The sequence below is a fragment of the Homo sapiens genome, chromosome 11 (assembly GCF_000001405.40).
Source record: "Homo sapiens chromosome 11, GRCh38.p14 Primary Assembly".
In the NCBI taxonomy this organism is placed as follows: Eukaryota; Metazoa; Chordata; class Mammalia; order Primates; family Hominidae; genus Homo; species Homo sapiens.
Window position 1 is genome coordinate 99,559,125 of NC_000011.10, and position 25,140 is coordinate 99,584,264.

At 37.3% G+C, this 25,140-nt stretch overlaps 1 protein-coding gene across 12 annotated transcripts in view, besides 1 other annotated feature; it reads left to right on the forward strand.

The window, feature by feature from the left end:
* The window catches only part of CNTN5 (contactin 5), a 1,337,937-nt gene that overhangs the window by 538,176 nt on the left and 774,621 nt on the right, over positions 1 to 25,140 (forward strand). The gene's annotated exons all lie outside the window — the stretch shown is intronic.
* Positions 24,638 to 24,761: a silencer, noted in NCBI's record as "fragment chr11:99454493-99454616 (GRCh37/hg19 assembly coordinates)". NCBI's record gives its function as "represses an EF-1alpha promoter that drives an FKBP-Casp9 reporter gene in an ReSE screen in K562 erythroleukemia cells {active_cell/tissue: K562}" and the evidence as "EXISTENCE:reporter gene assay evidence [ECO:0000049][PMID:32094911]".

Consider the following 25,140-nt stretch of genomic DNA (forward strand, 5'->3'; position numbering starts at 1 on the left):
ATTTTCACTGGTTATTGCTTTTAGCTGTATATGAATGTCACATTATAGGGCCTATTTGGCACACTGAGTTAATTACTATTACGAAAATGAGGGCCATTAAGCTGTGGATCACGAGCACATTTTACGTTGTTGGTGCTGTTTGAACCAAAAAGACTAACTGAAGAATACCCTGATTGTATTCCATATTTCCTTTATTTATTCAGTTTTTGAAAATCTACGGATTATCTTGGGTGTGTCTAAGAAACGGAAAAGAACTCTTACCTAACTCTATGTTTGAAAACTCACTACAGGTAGTCATAAAAGCTTGGCATCTTTCACAAGAACAGGCAACCTTATATTAAAAATGAATCCACAATTAAAACAACAATGATATATTGCTACAGATATCAAAATGGCTAAAATCCAAATAAATAAAAATTAATAAAAACAATACCAATTCTGGTGAAGATACAGATTGATGGGAACTCTCATTGACAGTGAGAATTCAACATGGTATAGCCATTTTGGAAGGCAGTTTTGCAGTTTCTTACAAAGCTAAACACAATTTTGTCATATGATCAAACAGTAGGTCTTCTAGGCATTTACCTAACTGATTTGAAAACTTATATCCACACAAAAACTACCATATAAGCGTTTACCAGAGATTTAGTAATAATAACCCCAAACTGGAAACAACAAATGTCCTTCAATAAGTGATTAAACTATGGAATTCTATACAATGGAATACTATTCAGTGATAAAAAAGAATGAATTACCAATACCAAACTACACAAACATATTAATGGATTCTATATACAAATGGCTAATTGAAAAAAAGATGATAGTTTGAACAGACTACATGCTATATGATTTTCTTTATATAACAACTGGAAAGAGAAAAGCTGTGGAGACTATAAACAGATCAGTGATTGCCAGGGTCAGGGAGAAGGTTGAATGGGTAAATGAAGCAAAGGACATTTTTTAGGGCATTGAAACTACTTTGTATGATACTATAATCATGGATGCAAGATATTACACATTTATCAAAATCAACTAGAACTTTCCAGCATGGAGTAAACCATAATGTTTGCATATTTAAAAAATATATAGTAGTAGGTCAGAGGATCTGAGGACAAAAAGCAGAATATGACAAAGAATCTAACTGTATTATTATTATTATTATTATTATTATTATTATTATTATTTTGAGATGGAGTTTCACCTTGTCTCCCAGGCTGCAGTGCAGTGAAGCTATCTCAGCTCACTGCCATCTCTGCCTCCGGGTTCAAGAAATTCTCCTGCCTCAGACTCCCGAGTAGCTGGGATTACAGATGTGTGCCACCATGACCAGCTAATTTTTCTATTTTTAGTAGAGGTGGGTTTCACCATGTTGGCCAGGCTGGTCTCAAATTCCCAACCTCAGGTGATCCGCCTGCCTCGGCCTCCCAAACTGCTGGGATAACAGGCGTGAGCCACCGCGCCCAGCCTGTATTATTAATAGGAAGCAACTTCACTTAGGGGAGTTAGGGGATAAACAGACTTAAATAACTTCAGAAATGAGTCTGCAAAACTAAAGGCAAAAAATACTGTACTTAAGCACTGCACTCTAGTTAATAATATTTTTTCCCATGTCAGCACTCCTAAAATCCATAAACATGTATACTGGAACAACTAAGTCCATGGAAGGCAGATGGTGGAGGCCAGGTTTCTCACTGTTGGTGTGGGAGATTACAATAAGCAAGAGAAGAAGTTTAGAATGATCCATGTGATAATGGATTAGAATTTGAGACACACACATGTGTGTGTGTTTGGGTGGGTGTGTGTATACTTCTGCAGATATACTAATACCTATTTCATTTCTCTAACAGCTGAGAAGGATTAGAATCTATGTGTCTGAGTAGCAACCAACACACAAAGTATCAACATTTCGGTTTCTAATACCATTTATACCATTTTCTACTCAAAGCAACCAGGGCTGTTTAGAGAGAAGCCTAATTCTAGGACTGGGCCAAGAAATATATAAATCATTCTAGAGTATCCTGTAGTGCCAGAAAGTAAGCGAGTGCTAAAACAAACAAACCAAAACCAAAACAAAACCAGAAAGAATATGAGAGTCTGGTGTGTCAAAGAGATGTAGGAGCCAACTGGGATAGTTCCCAGTAACCAAAACTGGGACAATTTCAGCAAATAAGTAAGTAAGTAAGTAAGTAAATAAATAAATAAATATTGGGTTATAGTCCAAATAAATGAATATTCATAAGTCCATATTGATATAGATAAAAGATTAAATAAATAATGAATCAGGAAAATTGATCAATCTTTATGTAGATTAATTTCAAATAATTTATGTAGATACTTCATCCTCAAGGAGGTGTGAAATAAATATCTCTTTTCTTAAGTATTCGCTGTGCATACTGACTTGTTTCCAAAGAGTACAGAATGGGAAATGGGGGCCAAAAGAGAAGTGATTTCATGGTGGAGAAAACTGGTAAACATTTCCTCAGCCATGTAATAATCATGATCAATATTAGCAGAGATAAGTCATGTTGATGATATTACCCTTGGTATGATGAGAATGACAGCTCAGCTTTGTGGTTTTCCTCCCCAAAACCTATAACCCCAAAACTTTCGAAGTCATCAAAACTTAGGAAAATTAGGGAAACTTTTGCACAGAAAGAGGAGACTAAGGAGATATGATAACTAAATGTAATGAGGTATATTGGATAGGATCTCATAAGAGAAAAAGAGCATTACATAAATACTAAGGAAATGTCAGTCAAGTATGTGTGTTAGTGATAATGCTCAGGACATTTCATCCCCAGAATATAACTGCTGGAGATCAGAATATGCCACTCCAAAGTATGCCTCCTTGGCATACTAGTTATTTTGAGTTGGTTATTTTGAAAAACTGCAGACACAGGACTGGCTCTGAGAAGTTGCCCTTTTGTAAGAAAAATGTGTGTTTGCATAAGAAATACCTGTTTGTAAGAGTGTCTCTCTCTCTCTGCACCATGAAGAGGACAACTAAATTACTAGAGACTCATAATCAATAAAGCAGGCATTGACTAAAATCTGCATATCAAATCTTACCTTTGTTTAAGCTGTTTTTCTGGCCATCTTATCTTAACTGAGCCTTCCTTGCACTTTTTTTTCCTTTCTATTAAAAAGCAATGATGTTGAAACCTAAAGTTTAATTTTATTTTCTTTGAGATCTGCTCTAGACATTTACATATTTCTCTGAGTTATCAGTCATATACAGGGAATATACATGTTAATAAACTTTTTTACTCCTGTTGATCTGTCTTTCATTACAGGAAGTCTTAGTTAAGAACTATTAAGTCCACAGAAAAAAATAAATTATCTTTTCTCCTCTACATTCGTTACAAATAAAATATAAATATTAGTTTATTAACTGTGGTACATGTTTCATACTACCATGAGATGTTAATAGGAAAAACTGGTTATGAATACATGAGAATTAGACTAAGCATAGCATTCTGAATACTTGAATAAAATATGATGAGGGCCTGAAAATAAGACTACAGTGAAGATTATCAACAGGAGTGAAATATTTAAAAACATACTGGCATTAAAATATATAGGACTTAGTAATTGATTAAATATTTATTGGTAGAGGAAATGGTTTCTTACCTTGCTTATAGGTGTAGATGATCTTGCCATTTACCTGGATTCTTAATAAAATGGGAAGTGCAGATTTAAAGCTGGGAAATACTGAGCTCAACAATGTACATGTTGAGCTTTAGATGTCTACAATACCCTTAGGTGAAAAATATCTAAAATTTAGGGAAGATGACCGAGCTAAAAGTAAATCTGTGATTCATTCTTGCATGGATGACATTTTAAGATATGGGAAAGGAAATAATCACTCAACAACTATGGATGTAATAATGAGTTATAAGACAAGGAAGCATGTCTGAGTAGCATGTACTTTTTTAAGGGGAAAGAGGAAGTACAGGCTGAAAAGAATGAAAGGCAAATTATAAATTTTGGGAAACGGTGGGAAAGAAGGAAAGCAAAACATCTCCAGAAAGAGAGTGGTCAGCAGTGGCAATGCATTAGGAAGTTTAAATGTGACTGGTACTAAACTCTTTTCTTTTAATGATAGTAATAGTTACATTTAATGAAGTAGTAGAAACCCCAGCGTTACGGCAGTGAGTTGTGAATTGGTTAGTAGAAGAGGAAAATTAGACAATTATTGTCAAATCTGTTTTCTGACAATGTAAACCTAGGAAAAGGAGAAAGAATGGTAGAGAGCTTGGAAAAGACAAAAATTTGAGGAGGAGTGTGTGTCTTTCCATTTGTGGATATGTGTTTTAAGGCTGGAGAAACTGTTTATGGAAATTCAATTCACTTTATGCCCAATGTACATGAAGAATGCATATTGCCTTAGTTAGCTTTTGCAGCATAACAAATCAGCCCACAATTTATTCACTTAAAATAAAATAGCATGTATTCTTTCCTACAATTCCAAGGGTTAGAGCTCGGTGGTTCTTCTGGTCTGGGCAGCCTCAGTTTATCTCTGCAGTACCCATGACGCACTTGATGGTGTTATTTGGCCTTACTCACATTGCTTGTGATTGATGCCTTGTTAGCAAAGGCAATGGGAATGACTTGGTCATGTCTCTGATCATCCAGAAGGCTAGCTTAGGCTCTTTCATGTAGTTGTAGGCTTTTTAGGTACAGGAAGAAACAGGAAAATCCCCAGTTTACAAGCACTTTTCATGCCTCTGTTATATTTGCTAATATTTCATTGGACAAAGCAAATCCCATGAGCCAAGATCAGATTCAAGAGGTGGAAAAGTAGATTCAATCTCTTCAAGAGAGTAGCTGCAAAAGCACATTATACAGAGAGCACGTACAGCAATAAGAAAAACGTGGGCTCATTTTTTACTCTAACACATATTTATATATGTCTGTGACTGTTTCACATGCAAATAGAAGCAATTCTGTTTTTTTTAAAATTTACTTATTTATTTAGACAGGGTCTTGCTTTGTCACCCAAGCTAGAGTGCAGCGGCATCATCATAGCTCACTGAAACATTGAATCCCTGAGATCAAGTGATCTTCTCACTTCACCCTCCCAAGTAGCTAGGACTACAGGCATGTGTCACCACATCAGGGTAATTTTTTTATTTTTATTTTTTATTTTGTAGAGATAGGGTGTCACTAAGTTGGCTGGTTTTGAATTCCTGGCCTCAAGCGATCCTCCTGCCCAGGCCTCCTAAAGTGCTGGGATTACAGGCATGAGCCACCACACCTGGCCAACAATTCTGTTTATAGCAAAAGTAAAGTAGACTAAATATTTCTCTGTATCCTCATTTTCAAATACAGTAGCAGTGAAAGAACTGTGTCCTAAACTCATTAGCTGAACGTAAAAAAACAAAAACAAAAACAAAAAAGAACTTTAAAACTCTGTAAATTAATTTAGTTTTCTTAATATGAAATTAATTAACTTCAAGAAAATCTAAGCTATTATCAAAGAATATGTGAAATCATTTGAGGTAATCATAATTACTGTAGCCTATTTTTAATATATATGTGAAAAAAGCATCAACATTTTAATCTCTATTGTGCCAAAATCTGTTATTGTTCTCTTTGAGAATTCTTTTTTTGGAACACATACATCCCCCAAATGTGTGCAGAGATAGCAATTGGAAGAAGACAATACGGTCCAGGATTTATCTACTTTCAATTTATAAGCAGCTTTCCTGATGGTTTTCGGCTCTTTGTAAATTCAGTCTCCATGTTTAAACAAACTCAACAACAGAAACTAAAATTTTATGTTCCTTTACTCTGTTATGCAGAATTTCTCCAGCTAATGGGTTTTTTTAACTATCATATTCTTTTTAGACTATGGCCAGTAATTATTCTAATTTCTTTATAAGTATTTAACATTTCAATAAGTATATCACAATAATATTTAGTACAAATAGCTTCCTTTTTGTGAAATATAAATTGTTCTTTATTCATGTGTTTGGGCTTAAAGAACAATAACCCAAAATATGATGCTTTGTCATGCTGAGCACTTTCAACTTGTCTTAAAGGAAGTTGGAAGCCCCTAGAAGCCGCCTCATAACCAAGGACTTTCCACCTTTCCCTTGTTTCTCTCCTCCCAAGGGCACTTTCTGTGGAAGTGCCCTTATCTGACTGAGGAAATTTCTTCCAAAAGAAATGCAATTGTCTTAAAGCCTCCTCCTCAGAAATCTCATCAAATGATCAGGCAATATTAACTAGCAGAGAAGAGAAAAAGACTAAAAGTTGTCACCATGCCCAGATAGACTTTTCATGTATTCTTCTGAGGGTACAGTCAAGAGATTACTTGAGAGACTTTATATACATAATAAGACAACCTTTGTTTACAGTGAAGTTTCACCCCTCACTTTCTCACAATTTGTTGCCATCTGCCCCAGAGCTCAGAGGAACCTTGTCCCTTGCTATTTTCTGTTCCCCATTACCACTTGGTATTCAAAGAGAATCATTTACAAACCATTGTCTGCTCTTTGGGACCATTCAGTTCTCCTGAAAAATGATTTACTACTCCTTAAAATTGCCTACATTCTCCTATCTCTGTCTTTCCAATGAAGAAGAGTATATACGATTGTGAACCTGATTGGGTTGTTAGGTAATCATTCTCCCATGATTTCCCCCCATGCATGTTAGTAAATTTGTATGCCTTTTCTTCTGTTAATCTTTCCATTGTCAGTACATTTCAGCCAACCTTCAGAGGGCAGAAGGGAAGTCTTCCCTTCATACCTATAGGTGGAACACAAAACCATGTATGACATCCGTTTAGGTCATACAGAGTGGTATAAACAATTAATAATAATAGTGATATCATTGCTTTCAATAAGAGTAGCTTTATGAAGGCAGATAATTATCTGAAATTGTTTTGGCTTGCTAGCATGCTGAAAGAGTTTGGATGTTTGTCTTCTGCAAATCTCGTGTTGAAATGTAATCCCCCATTTTGGAGGTGAGGTCTAGTGGGAGGTCTTTGGATCATGGGAGTAGATCCTTCCTGAATAGCTTGGTGCCCTCCTCTTGGTAATGGGTGAGTTCTCACTCCGAATAACGTGAGATCTGGTTGTTTAAAAGAGTGTGGCACCTTCCCCCTCACTATTGCTTGCTCCTGCTCTCACCCTGTGATACACCAGCTCCTCTTGCTTTCTGCCATTGTTATAAGCTTCCTAAAGCCCTCACCAGAAGCCAAGAGTGTTGGTGCCAGCAGAACTGTGAGCCAATTAAGCCTCTCTTCTTTACGAATTATCTAGCTTCAGATATTTCTTTATAGACACGTAAGAACGAACTAACACACATGCACAAGGGTTAGCAGGATCACTTTCATCTCTTTTCCCAGCGTGTTTTGTCTTCCTGTAAATTTTACTTAATGTCACATTCTTTTTTACTACTGTCGTCATTTTTTTGGTTGTGTGTTTAGTTAAACTAAAAAATATAGGTAAGAAATGAGATGGAAAGACACAGAGAATAGCAGTGGCCAGCTCATTAAAGAGGATTTGCAGAAAAGGGTTATGTATATGAAGTCATTAATATGAGTCTGACTATTTCCTGACTGGTGTAATAGAGATTTTAATAGAACAGCCTAATAGGACACTGAGATCAGGGGAAATAATGCATGGGAGATATGTCATATACAAATATTATTAGTATTTATTCTTAGAATAGGCTGGAAAGCCATGATTATTAATTCATTAACATTCTATCCTTTGGTTGGAGGTTTTTGAAAAAGCATTCATTTTGTACTCCTCAGTACTAGCATATATTTTTGTCAACATCCTAAATTTACCTATATATTTCTAGCAAAAGTTGTAGACTAAATAAGAATAATACTTAATTAGGTTTATTAAAACTAGGTATATTTATATCTTTTCCTTGACTAAATTTATAAATCTTAGAATCAAAAATAATTTGAGGTTTATGTAGTCTGTATCTTTGCACTTGGGTAAGTAAAGTATTTTTTTCTTCTCAATAGGGATGAGGCTCAGAAAGATTCTGTCTGTCTATAGGTGTTACCTAGTAGGAGAATAATGGGAGGACTGTCTCCTGTAGCAGCGCTTTTCAACATACCAGACAATATGAAGGTGAGACAAGAGAGGAAATCTAATTCCTGGAGCCACAGTGACCTCCTTCCTAGACCTACATTAATACATATAGTTTTTTTCTTCTGAATCACTTTCAGATGCTTCTAATGTCAGCTGTATTGCTTTAAAAACAACAACAAAAGGCATTTTTTTTTTCTCTACTTTGACCCCATTCTCCTCCATTGAGTTAAATCCATTTTATTGGAAAGGTGACAGTTTGTTCCTTCTGCCAAGATGATGATGTACTGTTGAACAGAGAGTGTCTGTCATTGATAAGCTTATACAAATACAGTCCTTCTTGGTGGCCGTGTGGTAAATTGCACAGAACTTTGTCACTGCCAGTTAGTGCTGCCTAAGAACTTCCAAAGGAAAATGAAAATAGAAGTGTTACAGAAAACAGGTGCCTGCTAATATAAATTCTGACTTCCCTGCTGCAGTTGAGAAAGAGAAATGGATTATGGCTCCTCCATGATCAAATTAAAATTATGTATTTGCACATTGTATCTGTCCCTGGGGAAGTTATGATGATAATGGAGACTACCTCTGTGTGGAAACCCAAGTTGACTTTTATCAGCTGTGCCCTGGCGGTATTAGACGTGTAATTAATCAGAAGACAATTTAATTTCTCCTTGTCAGTGGGCGGTGGGAACTGGATTACCTGAACTTAGTGAGCTTTGTTATTTTTATATTAAAAGAAAAGAAAATGTTAAAAGGTTTCTATAATTGTCACAAATTCCTGGGGTGATATAAAATTAAACTATCAACTAAAAAGCCAGGTTCAGCATCCTAGAGAAATAAGAGCAAATTTGTGTCTCAGTGTATTGGAGATTAAAGAAAAAGTTAACTTATTAGGTCAGCTAAATATTACTTTTTACATTAGAAAATATTTATTGAAAAATATTTTTCCCCTTGAGTATTGGCTAAGGAGTATGCAATGTACATCAAAAGTGTTTTGGAATCTAGAAGATGACATGGACATCATCTCTTCTTTAAACTGGACTAACCCTTTCTGGCAAGATAACTTTCAACAATAATACATCCTTCCTGATAGAAGATTAATAATTACATTGATTTTCTTTATTATTATAAAGTAATGCTCCAATAATTCACATTATATCAAGTGTCCATGAGAACTTGTGAATGAATGTTTATATTATCATTTGTTAAGCAGAAATAAATTTGTACCACTATAATACTGCTGTAAAATATGCTTGCTTATGGTAAGAATTGTTTTACTGCTTAGCACGAGCATCTGGGGAACTGCCTCTATGCAGTCATTTGAATAATTTGTGAGCAAGAAAACAGCTTATTTTCTGTACCTCACCTGTTCAAATTCAGGTCTCTTTGGAATATAAAGTGGAAAGACAATTACATTCATTGAGCACTCAAGCAAGCAGACATAAGTGCGATGCAGAATGCAAAGGAAGATTCTTGATCTCCTTTATATTAAACAAATTTTATAGTTTTATCAGGATCCAAATATGGATTATATATAATATGTAAAACGAACCATGTATAACTAATTACAAGAATGAGTTAAATGCCATATATTTTCTGTTTATTTTAGCTCTTTGAGAAAAATCCTATTTTGCTAGCCATTAATAAAGTTAACAATTGACTTTTTGAAACTCTGTCAACTTTCATATCTGATAATATTTAACATAGACATCAACCAGAAGATTTTTCTTTTCTATTATCTGGAAAAGAACATTTTCCATTCTAATTTTCGTTATAGCTTTCACACTGAAATTTGTCAGAGCACTTAGTTAAATATCAATGAAGTCTTCAGGTTGGTGACTAGGCTTATAGTATGGCTTTAACCTCTCTGTGGCTCTAGGGTATGCTGGACCATCTGAATGGTCCAGATCATGGATAAACATGGTTTGAAGTGAAAATTTTTTATTTTTCAGCATTTGAATATTTTGCAATTATGATTTTTACATGTTTATACAAAAGTACAAGATCATCTGTTCTATAAGAATAGATAAAATATCTATCTGTTCTATTTGCTGTTTCATATACAGGACCTAGCATAATCCTTGCTATGAATGCTTGCTATGGGATAACTGTTTTTTATTTTTATTATTTATTTATTTATTTATTTATTTTTTGAGGCAGAGTCTCGCTCTGGCGCCCAGGCTGGAGGGCAGTGGCGCAATGTGGCCTCACTGCAAGCTCCGCCTCCCGGGTTCAAGCGATTCTCCCGCGTCAGCCTCCCGAGTAGCTGGGATTACAGGTGTGCACCACCATGCCTGGCTAATTTTTGTATATTTAGTAGAGACAGGGTTTCATCATGTTGGCCAGGCTGGTCTCGAACTCCTGACCTTGTGGTCCGCCTGCCTCGGCCTCCCAAACTGCTGGGATTACAGGCTTGAGCCACCATTTTTAAGAACTTCCAGGCTCCAGAATCCTTCTATTGTGTGGCTTTCTTATCTCAAAATCTTCACTGCTAACCACTAGTATGGAGGCATGATGGGATAACTATTTTTTAAATGAATGAAAAGAAATATTTACTTTAATTTTTTTCTTGGGTTTAGAGGGACACAAACTATGCTCCCTGTTGCAGTAATTTCTGGTGAAGAAACATCCGAATAGGATGAATAATTTTACATTCTCCAAATCTGATCATTCTAATATTTTTAATATAAGAAATAAGCTGAGATTTCTTTGGGCATTTGGAAATCCTACTGAATTAAAGCCATAGCAATTATCTTAGCTTAGTTCAGGGGATTGTAAAAACAACCAATAAAAAATTACTAAAGGCAAAAGAAAGAAAGTAAAGAAAAAAACAAAGAAGGTAAGATATTTGAATAGTCAATGTCTTCATCAGGCTGCTCAGCCTCATGTCATCCATTTTCACACATCACTGAGGCCTGCAAGAATTTGCTTCAAGAGGTTCTAAAGGTTACTTTAAAAAAAAAAAAAAAGAAGAAAAGAAAAAAGCTTGGGTCATATGCCTCTTTACTTGTTTCTCTATGGTAATTCAGAGATGTACTGGCTCACAGTGCCGTTGCTGGCCCAAAGCTATTTTTATTTAATACCTAAATTCAGAAAGAACTATTTCAACCTGGCCCCAGGATCCTTATTTGTTCCAGAATAGCCCTGAAGGAATTGACTGTTTTTAAAATAGGATTCTATAAAACCCAACATGCAGCATTTGTTTCATTTATGGTTCAGTCGTTCTTCTAAGAAACATCATAGCTATAGATAGAAAGTTTCAAGTAGTCGTAGCCTATATACTTTGTCAAAGATATTGTGTATTGGGGATAAAGATTACAGAGATCAAAGGCATTTAAAAATATTATTTCAGGTACCAGTTACATAATAATTTTCAAGGATCTTTTAGTATAATTCATTTGTCTGTTAATTTACCAAGTATTTATTATGTGCCTGCTAGATATTTTGCTAGGTGCTAAGGCTATAGGAGTGAACAAGACAGGCAAAATCCCTGTCTTTCTGGAACTCACATTCTTGTAGAGAAGACAGACACTTTAGCAAGAAATAACATAATATCTAATAGGAATAATTCCCATAAAGAAATTAAATGGAATAAAATGATAGTGAGTAATATTGGGGGAGATGGGGTGGCAAGGTGTTATTAAACATAGAATGATCAAGTAAGTTCACTCTGAAGAGGTCTCTAAGGAAAAACGCAATGAACATGGAAATACAAGCCACATGAATATCTGAAACAGTATTTCAGGCAGGCAGGGAAAGACAAATGTCAAAACCCTCAAAAGGAAACAGATACTGTACATAAAGAATAACTAATACAGATGAGAGAAGAATCAATACAGACAAAGAGTCTGTGACAAGAAGAGTGATAGGTGGTGAAATAATGAGATAGACAATGGCCAGAGCAGAGGAGAGGTATAAGTTAATAACACGTAAAGGCAGCCTGCTTTCTGCTTTATGGAAAACCAACTGTCCAGCTTGAGTAAGAAAGAAGGCCTGGACATGTGTAGGATGCTATTGTAGTAGTTGCGAGAGAAAAGGTAACATGAAGTATTTAGACCTGTAGGTTTTCAATGGCTATTTGTTAGCTTCATTATGAGTCAGTACTGGTATGAATCTACCAAATAAGGAGCTCACATAATCTTCAGCTGTATCAATAATGCCTAGAATAAGGGAGAGGTTAGATCTGTATTGCTGTCATGCTAACAATGACTGATTTTATGTTCAGTTCCAGACTCAGTCTTATAATGGAAACAGATAATCACAAATGTATTCAGGGGAGGGAAACCAAAGTTAGGAAACCTTGACACTTTAAACTCTGTTGTAACAGAAATGAGAATTGAAATGGAATGACTAGAATGAGAACTGAATTAAAGACTCAGCTATTATTTAGGGGAATTTTTGACCAAAACTCAGGAAGCACATCTTTCTTCTTGCAAGATCTTCACTGAATTAATTATTGCTTTTTGTAAGTCAATGAGTAAAAGATGCAGAAGGTTAAGATACAAATGACTTAGGAGGGAAGGCAAAAAAGGTTTATCATAATGAAGTATGGGTACATATCCTGGTCATACTTCCATAGAGTGATTTGGCCTGTCTCTTCTCTCATATTCAAATTAATCATAGTGAATTTCAGTTATAGATTTCTTCTTTACTTAGGACATCAAGAGTTAGCCTTTGTATATTCTCTAATAACAAGCAGCTATCATTGTAAATGACATAAAGCAAGCTATAAAGACTTTGAAGAAAGTAATATTTTTTCTTCATATAATATACATAAATATAATTTCAGTATCCTGCTCTAATCTTAATGAGATACGAAAGCCTCTCAGTTCACACAGCAATAATCATTACATGGCCCATAGCAAGAAATCTCATCTCAAAAAGACAGAATTTCCAAAAGTTAATACTACATACAACCACTATCATTAAATAGCTAAAAGTTTGTTATATGTAAGCCATTTAGACTTATTTTCAGAGATGTAAAATAGGAATGTTCAATCCTTTGGCTTCCATGGGCCACACTGGAAAAAGAAGAATTGTCTTGGGTCACACATAAAATACACCATCGCTAACGATAGCTGATGAGCAAAACAAAAACAAAAACAAAACAAAACAAAAGCTAAAAAAAATCGTATTATGTTTTAAGAAAATTTACAAATTTATGTTGGGCTGCATTTAAAGCCATCCTGTGCTAGATGCAGCCTGCTGGCCACGGTTTGGACAAGCTTGCTCTGAAAGAACAAACCGGTAGAAGCTACAGAATAGCAAAGGGTAGAATTAGTTTGCCTAAAAAGGTCCTTTTTAGTTTGCCTAAGTGTCCAGAGTTGGTCAGTGATAGAATTGGCACTATCATAAGAGTTTTTCAAGAAGGTTCATGTCAAGCCTGAACTTCCTTAACACGGAAATGATCATTATTTAGTAAATGATCATTATGTAAAGACAATTTTAGCATCAAAGGGCTTGCTCAGACTGATGATATAATGCTCCCCTCCCCTTGTCCATAGATCTATTATACTGTAAGTCAGACTTTCAGAAATAGTTAAAAGTTTTATTTTATTTTGTTAATTTTTAATAATTGAGGGTTTTTTTTAAAAAATAGATTATCAAATGAGAAAACAGTGAATGATTGTGGGTAGAAGAATTGAGAATGGAAGAATATATTGGCGGTTAGAAACATATGATGGACTTAACACATTTCAGATTACAGGAAAAAGAGAGGAGGGGTTAAAATATATTTGTGTTTGATGTTTTGAGCCAGCATGCGGGAGAACAGTGGAGCCAGCAATAGAGATAAAGGAAGACTAAAAAGAAGGGGACTATTTTTAAATTTAAAATAGCCAAATATGATGGAATATTTAATTTAAGAAATAAACAGTTGTTATTGTCAAATGGAATATAATTAATTTAGTAGAAAATTTAATACACTAGAATCAGTTTTAAAATGAAGTATGTTGCCAAGAAGCTACTCTGTTTTGGATTCCACCCAAGGAGTGTTTTTTTTTTTAAATAATAAAATGGACCTGATTACATAATACTCTTTTTATGAACTCAGATAATTCCACTCTGCCAGGCTATTCTACATGGTAGGAACGTTGTTTTAAATAGTTCCTGGCCGGGTGCAGTGGCTCACGCCTGTAATCCCAGCACTTTGGGCGGCCTAGGCGGGCGGATCACGAGGTCAGCAGATCGAGACCATCCTGGCTAACACAGTGAAACCCCGTCTCTACTAAAAATACAAAAAATTAGCCGGGCGTGGTGGCAGGCGCCTGTAGTCCCAGCTATTCGGGAGGCTGAGGCAGGAGAATGGCGTGAACCAGGAAGGCGGAGTTTGCAGTGAGCCCAGATCACGCCACTGCACTCCAGCCTGGGCGACAGACAGAGTGAGACTCCGTCTCAAAAAAAAATAAAAATAAAAAATAAAAAATAAAAATAGTTCCTAATAAGCTTCCAGGAATGAATTTTTTTCTATTGAGACGGAGTCTCGCTCTATTGCCAGGCCTGAGTGCGGTGGCGTGATCTTGGCTCACTGCAACCTCTGCCTCCTGGGTTCAAGAGATTCTCCTGCCCCTGACCATTTCCTTTTTTGTCTTCTTTTCATTGGCCATGCATGCATTTTGGAGAAACCTTTCTAGAGCATATGTAATTCTTTGAAACTTCTCTAAGTTTCCAAGACATGTTCTTCTACCACCGTCACACGTTTCAATTCTTAAAAGAAATCAAAGCTAAAATTATTATTATTTATTATACTTTAAGTTCTGGGATACATGTGCAGAACGTGCAGGTTTGTTACGTAAGTATACACATGCCATGGTGGTTTGCTGCACCCATCAACCCGTCATCTACATTAGGTATTTCTCCTAATGCTATCACTCCCTATACCCCCCACTCCCCGACAGGCCCAGGTGTGTGATGTTTCCCTCCCTGTGTCCACATGTTCTCATTGTTCAACTCTCACTTATGAGTGAGAACGTGCAGTGTTTTCTTTTCTGTTCCTGTGTTAGTTTGCTGAGAATGATGGTTTCCTGCTTCATCCATGTCCCTGCAAAGGACACAAACTCATCCTTTTTTACAGCTGCATAGTATTCCATGGTGTATATTTGTGCCACATTTTCTTTACCCAGTCAATCATTGATGGGCATTTGGGTTGATTCCATTTCCTTGCTATTGTGAATAGTGCTGCAATAAACATATGCATGCATGCATCTTTATAACAGAATGATTTATATTCCTTTGGATATTTACCCAGTAATGGATTGCTGGGTCAAATGTTATTTCTGGTTCCAGATCCTTGAGGAATTGCCACACTGTCTTCCACAATGATTGAACTAATTTACATTCCCACCAACAGTATAAAAACTTTTCCTTATTTCTCCACAGCCTCTCCAGCATCTGGTGTTTCTTGACTTTTTCATGATCACCATTCTGACTGGCATTAGATAGTATCACATTTTGGATTTGATTTGCATTCCTCTAATGACTGGTGATGTTGAGCTTTTTTTCATATCTTTGTTGGCCACATAAATGCCTTTCTTTTGAGAAGTGTCTGTTTATGTTCTTTGCCCACTTTTTGATGGGGTTGTTTGTTTTTTTTTCCTGTAAACGTGTTTTAAGTTTCTTGTAGATTCTGGATATTAGAACTTTGCCAGATGGATAGATTGCAAAAGTTTTCTCCCACTCCGTAGGTTGTCTGTTCATTCTGATGATAGTTTCTTTTGCTGTACAGAAGCTCTTTAGTCAGAAATGACTTCTTTTAAAATGAAAAATGGTACATTTTTGGGAAATAGACTGGAAATAGGAGGGCTATATACTAGTTTCAACTTTGCCATGAATTGTGGGACTTTGGAGAAGTCATTATTTCCTTCTCTGTAACAAAATGGGTTAGGCTACATTATTTGAATCTTCTTACATATTCTAATGTTGTTTTCCAATAATCTCATATCTTTTATTATAAAGTCTCAAACTTGGGAACAACAGACCTTAAGTATCTCAATTTTTGAAGAAATGGTGTTAGACGTGTCTATATAATATTTACTAAAATATGTAAAATAGAATCCCCCTTAAATATTCAGAAAATTTGATACTTAAAGAAAGTTAAGAGAAGTGAAAAAGAAGTCACCAGGCTAAATGATGCTGTTGGCAGTGGTCTGAGATTTCTTTTCCCCTCACTCAGAGAAAGGAAAAAGTGATGATTTTCTTTACCTCGGAATAGGTACCAGAGGAACTGCTTGTGGTCATTGGAGTGTCTGCAGAGAGGAAAGATATGCCTTTTACTCTACATCTAAATGTTTACTAAGTGACAGAAACTCAGATTTGTTAAGAACATGCTAAAACAATCTTGAGAAAGGCTGACGTGCTTCCTGTGGATTTTGAGGGTCGCTAACATGGCAGCGTAAGAGCATAGAAACTAGATTCTGTTTTCCAAAGTAAGTTGATAAAAGCTACTCTTGGAGCAAAATAAAATTAAAAGGTGGTAGAGTACATACTGAATCCCAGCATTTGGAAGAGCAAAGGTTCATGAACCTTCTGTGGGACAGAAGTTGATGCTTCATAAGTAGCCAGGCATGACCCTTATTGATGGATTCTAGCCAATGCCACCAGACAGGAGGAGGTGACTTCAGAAGAAAGAGGAAGGTAGTCTCCCCAGGGGTGGAGCTGGGAGAAGAGCACCAGCATAAGACATCAGTTAGAGAGTAGATTTCTGTGTCTTAGAACTAAGCAGCATGGCAGATTAGAAGGAACTTCCAAAGAACCAATAGGGGCAACCCACTAGAGAATCCGTACTTGGACAACTACCACACAGAGGGCCCCGGTGGCCACATCACAGCTGCACCATTCAGCTAAAACTTGTGGCCTGTATATTCCAGCAACATTGGAAGGATTTTTCAGGAGAAGAGAAGGGAGACAAATAAAGATCAAAACAAAAATAGAAACAAATAACCGCTTTTTCCCTACCACAGGTTCCGAAGCACCACGGCAAGCCTGATCTGTGAGGAGAAGAGAGTGGAGGAATGAGAGATTGAATTTTTTGTCTAGGCAGAGCTGGATATATTAGTATTCTCAAAATGAGTCTTAATTGCCAAAACAAGCTTTGTTTTAATACCTTAAGGTATATGGAATGCTGAAGACCCATCAAGAACCTCATCTATGGCAGAGAAAGGGAAATCTGGCAGGAGGTGTTTAAAGCAGTAATTGGAGAAATAGAAAGTGTTTTAGTCCCTATTATAAATGCATTACATATACTTGGATATTTTCTCCTTATTGACATATAACCCTTTTGGTAGCCTTTCATTGATGTTTTTCTTTCAGTAAAAATGTAATGAATACTACTCTGAGTAAGGCAATGTCCAGGACAGACACTGTAGATAAACCAGAGAAAAAGGCAACCCTTCAGTCTTAATTCATAGAGGTAACAGACTCTCTTAATCCATTTGGGCTGCTATAACAAAATACCATAAACTGGGTGGCTTATAAACAATGGAAGTTTATTTCTTATATTTCTGGAAGGTGGGAAGTCCAAAATCCAGTTGCCTGCAGATTTGGTGTTTGGGGAGGGTGTGTTTTGTCATAGATGGTGCCTTCTCAGTGTACCCTCATCACTTGTTGGAAGGAGCAGGGCAGCTCTCTGGGGCCTCTTTTATAAGGGTACTAATCCTATTCTTAAGGGTTTCACCCTCATGACCTAATCACCTCCCCAAAGTTCTCATCTCTTCATACTATCACCTTGGGGGATTAAGATTTGAGGGTATATGCATTTTGGAGGGACACAAACATTCAGACCACAGCACAAATCTTTGGACTGAGTAATCAAATTTGAACCACAATAAAGGGAAAAAATGTTGAGGGATTTCTATGGTATTATGAATTTCTTTTATTAATCAAAGTTTCGGTAGAGGTCTTTATTGGACTTTTTGTGGCACAATTGTTAAATAATTCACACCAAAAGACTTCAGGAAAAGACAGGGCTTAAGAGGGAGGTTGAAGGATTGAGGGTATTTGAATAGGTAGAGAGAAAAAAAGATTGCATTAGTGCATTAAAGCAGGGAGAAATGTCCAGCACTTTTCACATAGAGTTGTAGCTCTGCCTGCTTGTGTCCTTTGACACATTACAGAGATTCTTGCCCCCATCCCTCTCCCTTTGCCTCAAGCACTCATATTCTACAACCATATGCTCTAAATGGGCTCTTCACATTTAGGAAAATAAATTGAGAGTACATGACTAGTGATTCTACCAATGATTAATCTTAATGTTTAGAGAAAGCATGGAGTCCAGGACAAATAGATGTTTTTACTAGATTAACGTACAGAGTTATGACATTTATGTTTCTATGAAGCAATTTGCTGTAACTTATGCTAATATTGTAGTTTGCTGTAGGATGTCATGATTTTCATTTAATTAAAAATAATGTGTGACAGATGATTATTTTTCCATTGAGCCCGATCATTAAAAATTTATTTCTAGAGTAATAAAATAAAAAATACAGTGTTTAAAAGAGTTTGTGGGACTATCACAAGGTAATTACCATAGACATATATATTGAAAACAAAGTTTGGACAGTTCTTTAGTTATTGCTTCTAAAATGTTTAAAGATGATTCTGCATTTGTGCAGATCTTTATAGTGAGGAATTAATTCTCAAAGATTTTCTTTTATTATTATTATTATTATTATACTTTAAGTTTTAGGGTACATGTGCACAACGTGCAGGTTTGTTACATATGTATACATGTGCCATGTTGGTGTGCTGCACCCATTAACTCGTCGTTTAGCATTAGGTATATCTCCTAATGCTATCCCTCCCCCCTCCCCCCACCCCACAACAGTCCCTGGTGTGTGATGTTCCCCTTCCAGTGTCCATGTGTTCTCATTGTTCAATTCCCATCTATGAGTGAGAACATGCGGTGTTTGGTTTTTTCTCCGTGCGATAGTTTGCTGAGAATGATGGTTTCCAGTTTCATCCATGTCCCTACAAAGGATGTGAACTCATCCTTTTTCATGGCTGCATAGTATTCCATGGTGTATATGTGCCACATTTTCTTAATCCAGTCTATCATTGTTGGACATTTGGCTTGGTTCCAAGTCTTTGCTATTGTGACTAGTGCCACAATAAACATACGTGTGCATGTGTCTTTATGGCAGCATGATTTATAATCCTTTGGGTATATACCCAGTAATGGGATAGTTGGGTCAAATGGTATTTCTAGTTCTAGATCCCTGAGGAATCGCCACAATGACTTCCACAATGGTTGAACTAGTTTACAGTCCCACCAACAGTGTAAAAGTGTTCCTATTTCTCCACATCCTCTCCAGCACCTGTTGTTTCCTGACTTTTTAATGATCGCCATTCTAACTGGTGTCAGATGGTATCTCACTGTGGTTTTGATTTGCATTTCTCTGATGGCCAGTGATCATGAGCATTTTTTCATGTGTTTTTTGGCTGCATAAATGTCTTCTTTTGAGAAGTGTCTGTTCATGTCCTTCGCCCACTTTTTGATGGGGTTGTTTGTCTTTTTCTTGTAAATTTGTTTGAGTTCATTGTAGATTCTGGATATTAGCCCTTTGTCAGATGAGTAGGTTGCAAAAATTTTCTCCCATTCTGTAGGTTGCCTGTTCATTCTGATAGTGGTTTCTTTTGCTGTGCAGAAGCTCTTTAGTTTAATTAGATCCCATTTGTCAATTTTGGCTTTTGTCGCCATTGCTTTTGGTGTTTTAGACATGAAGTCCTTGCCCATGCCTATGTCCTGAATGGTATTGCCTAGGTTTTCTTCTAGGGTTTTTATGGTTTTAGGTCTAACCATGTAAGTCTTTAATCCATCTTGAGTTAATTTTTGTATAAGGTGTAAGGAAGGGATCCAGTTTCAGCTTTCTACATATGGCTAGCCAGTTTCCCCAGCACCATTTATTAAATAGGGAATCCTTTCCCCATTGCTTGTTTTTGTCAGGTTTGTCAAAGATCAGATAGTTGTAGATATGCGGCATTATTTCTGAGGGCTCTGTTCTGTTCCATTGGTCTATATCCTGTTTTGGTACCAGTACCATGCTGTTTTGGTTACTGTAGCCTTGTAGTATAGTTTGAAGTCAGGTAGCGTGATGCCTCCAGCTTTGTTCTTTTGGCTTAGGATTGACTTGGCGATGTGGGCTCTTTTTTGGTTCCATATGAACTTTAAAGTAGTTTTTTCCAATTCTGTGAAGAAAGTCATTGGTAGCTTGATGGGGATGGCATTGAATGTATAAATTACCTTGGGCAGAATGGCCATTTTCATGATATTGATTCTTCCTACCCATGAGCATGGAATGTTCTTCCATTGGTTTGTATCCTCTTTTATTTCATTGAGCAGTGGTTTGTAGTCCTCCTTGAAGAGGTCCTTCACATCCCTTGTAAGTTGGATTCCTAGGTATTTTATTCTCTTTGAAGCAATTGTGAATGGGAGTTCACTCATGATTTGGCTCTCTGTTTGTCTGTTATTGGTGTATAAGAATGCTTGTGATTTTTGCACATTGATTTTGTATCCTGAGACTTTGCTGAAGTTGCTTATGAGCTTAAGGAGATTTTGGGCTGAGACGATGGGGTTTTCTAGATATACAATGATGTCATCTGCAAACAGGGACAATTTGACTTCCTTTTTTCCTAATTGAATGCCCTTTATTCCCTTCTCCTGCCTGACTGCCCTGGCCAGAACTTCCAACACTATGTTGAATAGGAGTGGTGAGAGAGGGCATCCCTGTCTTGTGCCAGTTTTCAAAGAGAATGCTTCCAGTTTTTGCCCATTCAGTATGATATTGGCTGTGGGTTTGTCATAGATAGCTCTTACTATTTTGAGATACGTCCCATCAATATCTAATTTATTGAGAGTTTTTAGCATGAAGGTTGTTGAATTTTGTCAAAGGCCTTTTCTGTATCTATTGAGATAATCATGTGGTTTTTGTCTTTGGTTCTGTTTAGACGCTGGATTACATTTATTGATTTGGGTATGTTGAACCAGCCTTGCATCCCAGGGATGAAGCCCACTTGATCATGGTGGATAAGCTTTTTGATGTGTTGCTGGATTCAGTTTGCCAGTATTTTAGTGAGGATTTTTGCATCAATGTTCATCAAAGATATTGGTCTAAAATTCTCTTTTTTTGTTGTGTCTCTGCTCGGCTTTGGTATCAGGATGATGCTGGCCTCATAAAATGAGTTAGGGAGGATTCCCTCTTTTTCTATTAACTGGAATAGTTTCAGAAGGAATGGTACCAGCTCTTCCTTGTACCTCTGGTAGAATTTGACTGTGAATCCATCTGGTCCTGGACTTTTTTTGGTTGGTAATCTATTAATTATTGCCTCAATTTCAGAGCCTGCTATTGGTCTATTCAGATATTCAACTTCTTCCTGGTTTAGTCTTGGGAGGGTGTATGTGCCGAGGAATTTATCCATTTCTTCTAGATTTTCTAGTTTATTTGCGTAGACGTGTTTATAGTATTCTCTGATGGTAGTTTGTAGTTCTGTGGGGTCGGTGGTGATATCCCCTTTGTCATTTTTTATTGCATCTATTTGATTCTTCTCTCTTTTCTTCTTTATTAGTCTTGCTAACGGTCTATCAATTTTGTTGATCTTTTCAAAAAACCAGCTCCTGGATTCATTGATTTTTTCAAGGGTTTTTTTGTGTCTTTATTTCCTTCAGTTCTGCTCTGATCTTAGTTATTTCTTGCCTTCTGCTAGCTTTTGAATGTGTTTGCTCTTGCTTCTCTAGTTCTTTTAATTGTGATGTTAGGGTGTCAATTTTAGATCTTTCCTGCTTTCTCTTGTGGGCATTTAGTGCTATAAATTTCCCTCTACACACTGCTTTGAATATGTCCCAGAGATTCTGGTATGTTGTGTCTTTGTTCTCGTTGGTTTCAAAGAACATCTTTATTTCTGCCTTCATTTCATTATGTACCCAGTAGTCATTCAGGAGCAGGTTGTTCAGTTTCCATGTAGTTGAGCAGTTTTGAGTGAGTTTCTTAATCCTGAGTTCTACTTTGATTGCACTGTGGTCTGAGAGACAGTTTGTTATAATTTCTGTTCTTTTACATTTGCTGAGGAGAGCTTTACTTCCAACTATGTGGTCAATTTTGGAGTAGGTGTGGTGTGGTGCTGAAAAGAATGTATATTCTGTTGATTTGGGGTGGAGAGTTCTGTAGATGTCTATTAGGTCCGCTTGGTGCAGAGCTGAGTTCAATTCCTGGGTATCCTTGTTAACTTTCTGTCTCGTTGATCTGTCTAATGTTGACAGTGGGGTGTTAAAGTCTCCCATTATTATTGTGTGGGAGTCTAAGTCTCTTTGTAGGTCACTAAGGACTTGCTTTATGAATCTGGGTGCTCCTGTATTGGGTGCATATATATTTAGGATAGTTAGCTCTTCTTGTTGAATTGATCCCTTTACCGTTATGTAATGGCCTTCTTTGTCTCTTTTGATCTTTGTTGGTTTAAAGTCCGTTTTATCCGAGACTAGGATTGCAACCCCTGCCTTTTTTTGTTTTCCATTTGCTTGGTAGATCGTCCTCTATCCCTTTATTTTGAGACTATGTGTGTCTCAGCACATGAGATGGGTTTCCTGAATACAGCACACTGTATTTTCTTTATCCAATTTTCCAGTCTGTGCCTTTTAATTGGAGCATTTAGCCCATTTACATTTAAGGTTATTATTGTTATATGTGAATTTGATCCTGTCATTATGATGTTAGCTGGTTATTTTGCTCGTTAGTTGATGCAGTTGCTTCCTAGCCTTGATGGTCTTTACAATTTGGCATGTTTTTGCAGTGGCTGGTACCAGTTGTTCCTTTCCATGTTTAGTACTTCCTTCAGGAGCTCTTTTAGGGCAGGCCTGGTGGTGACAAAATCTCTCAACATTTGCTTGTCTGTAAAGTATTTTATTTCTCCTTCACTTATGAAGCTTAATTTGGCTGGATATGAAATTCTGGGTTGAAAATTCTTTTCTTTAAGAATGTTGAATATTGGCCCCCACTCTCTTCTTGCTTGTAGAGTTTCTGCCGAGAGATCAGCTGTTAGTCTGATGGGCTTCCATTTGTGGGTAACCCGACCTTTCTCTCTGGCTGCCCTTAACATTTTTTCCTTCATTTCAACTTTGATGAATCTGACAATTATGTGTCTTGGAGTTGCTCTTCTCGAGGAGTATCTTTGTGCCATTCTCTTTATTTCCTGAATTTGAATGTTGGCCTGCCTTGCTAGGTTGGAGAAGTTCTCCTGGATAATATCCTGCAGAGTGTTTTCCAACTTGGCTCCATTCTCCCCGTCACTTTCAGGTACACCAATTAGACATAGATTTTGTCTTTTCACATAGTGCCATATTTCTTGGAGGCTTTGTTCATTTCTTTTTATTCTTTTTTCTCTCAACTTCTCTTCATGCTTCATTTCATTCATTTCGTCTTCCATCGCTGATACCCTTTCTTCCAGTTGATCTCATCGGTTACTGAGGCTTGTGCATTCACACATAGTTCTCATGCCATGCTTTTCAGCTCCATCAGGTCCTTTAAGAACTTCTCTGCATTGGTTATTCTAGTTAGCCATTTGTCTAATTTTTTTCAAAGTTTTTAACTTCTTTGCCATTGGTTCAGACTTCCTCCTTTAGCTCAGAGTAGTTTGATCTTCTGAAGCCTTCCTCTCTCAACTCGTCAAAGTCATTCCCTGTCCAGCTTTGTTCCATTGCTGGTGAGGAGCTGTGTTCCTTTGGAGGAGGAGAGGCACTCTGATTTTTAGAGTTTCTGGTTTTTCTGCTTTGTTTTTTCCCCATCTTTGTGGTTTTATCTACCTTTGGTTTTTGATGATGGTGACGTACAGATGGGTTTTTGGTGTGGATGTCCTCTCTGTTTGTTAGTTTTCCTTCTAACAGTCAGGACTCTCAGCTTCAGGTCTGTTGGAGTTTACTGGAGGTCCACTCTAGACCCTGTTTGCCTGGGTATCAGCAGCGCTGGCTGCAGAACAGCAGATATTGGTGAACCGTAAATGCTGCTGCCTGATCGTTCCTCTGGAAGTTTTGTCTCAGAGGAGTACCCGGCCGTGTGAGGTGTTAGTCTGCCCCTAATTGGGGGTGCCTCCCAGTTAGGCTACTTGGGGGTCAGGGACCCACTTGAGGAGGCTGTCTGCCCATTCTCAGATCTCAAGCTGTGTGCTGGGAGTACCACTACTCTCTTCAAAGCTGTCAGACAGGGACATTTAAGTCTGCAGAGGTTACTGCTGTCTTTTTGTTTGTCTGTGCCCTACCCCCAGAGGTGGAGCCTACAAAGGCAGGCAGGCCTCCTTGAGCTGTGGTGGGCTCCACCCAGTTTGAGCTTCCCATCCGCTTTGTTTACCTACTCAAGCCTGAGCAATGGTGGGTGCCCCTCCCCCAGCCTCGCTGCCTCCTTGCAGTTAGATCTCAGACTGCTGTGCTAGCAATGAGCGAGGCTCCGTGGGTGTAGGACTCTCTGAGCCATGCGCGGGATATAATCTCCTGGTGTGCCGTTTGTTAAGCCCGTTGGAAAAGTGCAGTATTAGGGTGGGAGTGACCTGATTTTCCAGGTGCCGTCTGTCACCCCTTTCTTTGACTAGGAAAGGGAATTCCTTGACCCCTTGTGCTTCCCGGGTGAGGGGATGCCTCACCCTGCTTTGGCTCATGCATGGTGTGCTGCACCCACAGTCCTGCACCTACTGTCTTGCACTCCCCAGTGAGATGAACTCGGTACCTCAGTTGGAAATGCAGAAATCACCCATCTTCTGCATGGCTCAAGCTGGGAGCTGTAGACTGGAGCTGTTTGTATTCGGCCATCTTGGCTCCACCCTCTCAAAGATTTTCATTGTGTTTATTTATTATTGACTGTAAGTAACAGCCATCATTATAAAATTAATCTCATGAAATAGATCAGATAATTTTTTACTGGGATCAAAGGGATTAAGGAGGATGTGATTTCTCTACCAAATGTTCTTTATGCTGGGTTCTTCAAACTAATTTTTCAATTTGAAAGTATTAACTTTAAAATTGAATATTTAAATTGTTCAACGTTGTTCCCTTTTGGGGGACAAAGTATATAGTACATTACCGGGACATAACACTCAGAGTATTAAAATTAGCTCT